The sequence below is a fragment of the Homo sapiens genome, chromosome 3 (assembly GCF_000001405.40).
Source record: "Homo sapiens chromosome 3, GRCh38.p14 Primary Assembly".
In the NCBI taxonomy this organism is placed as follows: domain Eukaryota; kingdom Metazoa; phylum Chordata; class Mammalia; order Primates; family Hominidae; genus Homo; species Homo sapiens.
Genome location: NC_000003.12, coordinates 78,075,259 through 78,081,258, shown reverse-complemented (window position 1 = coordinate 78,081,258; position 6,000 = coordinate 78,075,259).

Here is a 6,000-nt window from a genome sequence, read left to right as displayed (position 1 = left end):
GAACTATTGTCAAAGATCATAGCTTGAGGTGGGAAATTGCACTGACATTGTTAAAGTTCAGACTGACAATCAAGTGTTACACTTTGTCACAATTGCCCAATCCCTTTCTCTCTTCATTAATGATCATTGAACCATCATTTCCCCCTTTATTATATCGGTTTAAAGTTACATAGTTTGGTTGCCTATCTTGAGCTTTGTTTCAATATCTTCTTGATCACTTTGTGGTAGAGACTGTATTTGTTCCTAACATAAATCTTAGCATTCTAGAATTAGAAAGAACTTTATTTTTTCAATGGCTTTTGAATAAGAGTCTACATCATACCACAAGGGTGAGCATACTCTATCCACACAAATTAAGGGTGGAATGGGAGGAGCAGATGGTCTTGTTAGCAGTGAAAGCTGGCTGAGTCACATGGCACCAAAATACGTTAGAGGAGGTGAATCCATATGGGTCTGCAGCAACTTCAATTCTTGCCTCCTCAGAAGAAAGAATTTGATTGAGGGACATAAGGCAGAAAAAGAGACCAAGGCAAGTTTCAGAGCAGGAGTTGAAGTTTATTAAAAAGCTTTAGAGCAGGAATGAAAAGAAATTCAAGTGTACTTAGAAGAGGACAAAGTGGACATCTTGGAGGTCAAGTGCCCCATCTGACTTTGAACCTGGGATTTTATATGCTGACCCACTTCCAGCATTTTGCACCCCTTTTCCCTTGATTCCTCCCTTGGGATGAGTTGTACACATGCACGGTGGCCTACTAGTGCTTGGAAGGTGAGTGTGCGCAGTGTGTTTACTGGAGTTGTACGCACGCTCACCTAAGGCTTTCTCCATTTTCAGGTGGAATGCCCCCCGAAGGTTGTAGTCCACCGCTCTGCCTCTTACTACTCATGCTTAAGCCCACTTGCCCAATTTCTGAAAGCTGCTGATTCCCAATTCCAGGTATTTTTATGTATTGGGAAACTGCCTCTCCCTGGTGCTGGCTGCAACCAATTATTATTTTAGAGAGGCGGTGTGACAACTGCCTGACCATCACCTGATGGTTGCCTAATATCCTTGGTGTATAAGGGGAGCCCTCTCCTGTCCCTGCTCATGCCTGACTAGCTACCTACTGTAACAGTTTCATGGCGACTTCCTAATTGGAGCTAATGCTGGAAGTATTATTAGTTTATCCACAAATCATGTCATCCCATTTCAGGAGTTAGTACGGGTTCCTTCCTCTATAGTGGCCATGGAGGATAACACAGTCTTTAAAATTTCAGGCTTTAGACAAAAAAATCTTGTTTTAAATCCAGTATTTTATATCTTACCTAGTTATGAGCAAGTTATTAACTAATCTAAGCTCCAATTTCATGATCTATAAAATTTGAGATAAAATATTACTCACTTGACAAGATTGCAATGTGAATAAAAAGAGCTTTACCTGGTAAAGCATTTGGCACATTGCATAACACATACTAATTGTTTACATTTTAGTAATTGTTATTTGTTCAGCAATCATTTTACTCTTACTAACATTTTTTCTTGTAAACATAAAACTCTGTATTGTAGAGATAATATAATCAAACACATAAAAGGCCAGTTTACTCACCAAGCTATAGGCCATCTAGTCATTTTTTTTAGACTTGCTGTTAGACAGTAAAATGTTTCTTTTAACCTGAGTTTCAGTTGCATGTACAAGACATAAAATGTCTTGAGTGAGCTATTCCCCTGCCTTCAGCATAACCCTAACCCATCACCTAACACTGCACACAAACTTGTCCTCCAACCCACATTCTCACCTTCTGAAAACAGACAAGAAAAATCCACTTATTGTGATGTTTTGTTTTGTTTTGTTTTTTACTCTTTCTTTCTTAGAAAAGGATGGCAGCAGATGAACTGCATTTCTTAAAAGGGCACAGAAGTGAGTTATATGATTTGTCAGATTCTCAGTATTTGGAAGGTCACATAATAGAGAACAAAACGTGACTTATGCTACAAATCATAGGCATGAGATGAGTTGATGTTGAAAAATTGTTTTTATAAGGTAGACAATGAGAAACTTCTGGAGCTTAGTGGTTCTAGAAGAAGAAAAGAAATTTTTACTGAGTGGCCATCTACCATGTGCTTAAAGCTACTTAGTTTCAAAGAGATGCCTGTAAAAATTTTCTTCTGATCTAAGTCATTTAAATGGGATATTTTTTGATATTAGAACATGTGGGGGACATAGTTTTACAAGCATTACACTGTCTGTAACTGAATATTTGAAAGAAACATCTCTCACACTGCAGAAATATGGAATAAAATATAGTGTCTGCAGATCTTCCCAGAAAGTCATGCCAGTAGTAAGAAAAGTAATAACATATCTATAAAGAGGGGTCAGGAAATAATTTACAAAGTGTGAGAAAAGATTTTTACACATGCGAAAAGAATTTTACAATTTAGCATGATGATGATAAAAGTGTATTTATGAAATCTCTTTCTCAAAGGTGTTTAGCTATTCACTTGCTTTGAAAGTTATATCTGATTAATCACTGCTCCAGGGTAATGTACAGTCCCTTTCCAAGTTATGAGAATCTGCTGTGGAGGAGGCACAGACTGCGTGGGCAAATGCTATAATGTATTTTTCATCTATCCACTCACACCCTTTGTTTCTGATCTTTTTTTGTGAGATATATAATTTTTAGATTGTCAATGTAATAAGATTTGTGCAATATTGTTCTTTTTTTCCAACTGGTTTCTATTTACAAAACTTGAAAGAGATATGGTAGTCTTTAAATGAATTATAAATAAGACTGACTACTATAAGTGTATATTTTTATAAATTGTTCCCTTCCATCAATCTTTAGGAAAATTTAAATAATAAAGAAATACTGATTATGTTTCACAGCAGGATTGGTTGATTCGATCCCCTAATCCCTACCTTCTTTTAGAATTCTGAATATTAATCATGGGAGTAAATCACTGAAACAAATTAGTGAGACAGGCGTATTTTGAAACTGTATATTAAGGAAGTCCTTTGAAGACACTGAAGCAATATATTTTCCATTCCTAAATAGTTTCTTTAGCAAGACTATTTGAAATGGAACAATCTTAACCACAAGCAATGAGAAGCCGGATATAGGATCTTGCACCTCCAGGTCAGCAGTTCAAATCTGGCCTAGATCAATGAAAATTGAAAATCATTACCAGTGAATGGTCTCATAATGTTCTCAACAAATGAGTCAGTGGACTTGGTTGCACTCTCTTTGCTAGTTGACAAGTGCCCAGGTGACAAATCATGTTACACCATTCGTGACACACCCTTGATCATATTGGCACCAAATGATACCTTTGTTGGTTATTTTATTAAACTGGTTCAGTATTTACTGAAGTGAAACCATATAGTCATGATCCCTTCACAAATCATATCCATCAATGTATAATCTGATTTTGTTGAACTAATAATGTAAATATTTCATACTTTGGTGAGTATCCTTATAACCATGATACTAATCAGCCTAAATTAAATTTTCTGTTTCACTTGGCATACTCAAGAAAGACCTTGGCAAATTTCAGGCTTGGTTTGGATAACTGAAGTATTTATTTTAATTTATAGATTTATTTCAATGCATGGCATGATCTTATCATGGGAAAACTGCTTTTTCTGCTCATTTTCCAAGCTACAACAGGAAAGGAAATAAAAATTTTCCAAAATCTTTCCCTTGTTCTTTCAATAATATTTCAAAGAAAATGTTAATACCATTGAGGACTATTTTGTGGTTTTATGTGTGTAAAATGAGTTTCAGTGGAAAATCAAGGTAAGAGTTGTTTTTGGAAGACATCAAAATGGCACATCATTAAACTTCTGTGACGTTATGGGAAGGAAGGGTTGTGATAAGTTGAGGGCGCTACCCCATTTTGCTTCCCCTGTCCCAAATGAAACAAGAGTTCAAGCCAGGAAGAAGGAATCCAGAAAGCACACTGTGCCATCCATCACGTACCTCCAAAACCGTGTTTCTCCAAAGAAACTGCCAGAGATTTTTAGCTTTCTTGATCACATCACATGGATTTCTCATCTAGAAATGAGAAATCATTTCTAGATTTCTCTTATTCATTTTTTTCTCTTATACTTTGCCTTTATAACCAATTTGACATAGCAGACTTTTATGTATATTTTCTTATTTAATTTTAAGCCTCACGAAACTAAAGGATCTAAGAGGTTAAGTAATTTGCTTCAAGTTATACAACCGAAGGGGAGCATATAATTCAGTACTCTTTTCTCTCCTGCTGTTTCCAAGTTGTGGCCTTCAAATATGAGGGTGTGGGTAAGGAAAAGAACTAAATAGCTATTTCAGGGAATGTTAGACTCTAGACAGATAGAAAGTATAGCCTGTTGGGTGACTACACAATATATCCTTATCTGTACAAATTGTCAAAAGTGGATAGATCCTATTGTCTGATGAAATACTATTATACTTCAAAATTCTGGTGTGTAAAAATTTTGTAGTCATGTATTTTCTTATAAACACATCCTAAAACTACAGAAATTATGTGGGAGCTCATTTTTTTTCTTTCATGTTGTAAGAGTGTCATTGTATATTAAATGGTTGGGAACTCTGGCACTCACTATACCTTGGTGTCTCCCAGCTGTATCCATGTGTTGCCTAACATCTGCAGTGTCACAAAGAAATTCCAAACTGGGAGCTTATCTTGGGAAACTGTTGCTTTTGGATCTCCCTCCTAATTCCCCTCCCAACCTCTGCAAACCAGGTCATAGGAAGCAATCAGCAAAGGAGCAGAATAGCCTGTCCAGGAAAAATGTTCTGTGGAAGCAGTGGCAGAGACAAGGAATGAAAAACATTCTAGTTTTTGAAAGCAGTAGGTTGATAGCACTTAAGGAACAGAAACAAGCAGTGAGGGCAATCTTACTGGCTTCTGCACAGACATTTGGGGTCTTATATCCAGCGGAATGAATTAATAGACCTTCTTCTACAACAGCAAAGATAAAAAATGACATTTTAAGGGATGTGGGGTTAGAGATACATGATTGTCAAATGAGGATGGTAAAGTAATCATTCCCAAGTTAGGGGGATCCATCTTTGCTCAAAGGTATAAATGTGGTGGTGTTACACAGGCTAAAACATAAAACATATGTTCATAACTACTTAACAACCATGTGGAAATAGAATCCGAACTAGGGTTGTATGTGGAAGGTGGATTTGCAAAATAAGAAGCTTGGTTGGAAAGAGGAAGAAAAAGATAAAATTATTTATTTGCTTGTGTTACAAAATGAGCAATTTGTATTCAGAGCACATAACTGAAATGAACACGATTAAGGTTAAGATGTCTAGGAGCAAGGATTAGAAATTCAACTGGGAAAACATTAGGGGAATATAAAATACGGGTATGGAGATAGAAATCTGTTATTCTAAACAGTAATATTCCATTAAGTAAATAAATAATCATTAAATTTTGATGTGATGTATAGACTAGTTATTAGGAGACTAGAAAGTGGTGGTTAATAAAGAAATATGTTTAATTTAAAAATATAATATTACTGAAAATTTTACATAAATATATGCTTTTAATTTTAATGAGAAATGTTGGCTTTTTATAGGAGATGAATGACAAACACAATGTTAAACTTAACTCCAACATTTGTTATTTTGTCAGCTTTCAGACAAGATACCCAAGAGAATGGCAGAGCTCCAAGGGTCAAAAGAGGGTGACAGTAGGGGGAAAAAATGACACACACACAGTTTGTGCAGCCCGAGGGGTTAGTCTGCACACAGTAACAGTAATAATTATTTACAACACTGATCTGCTGGGTTTCTTAAAAAATGAACTTGTGAGAGCAAAATGTCAGGTATAATAATAATAATGAGGGAAGTTTGTCACTATCATTGCACAACCACAAAAAATGAATTCTTCTGGGCCTTATGAACACTGCAGGAATAAATAGCATATACTCATTGTAACCAATCACACTGTTTTGCTATTCTGGTGGATTTTTTTTTTTAAATCGTGGTAACATTTTTATGAGATAA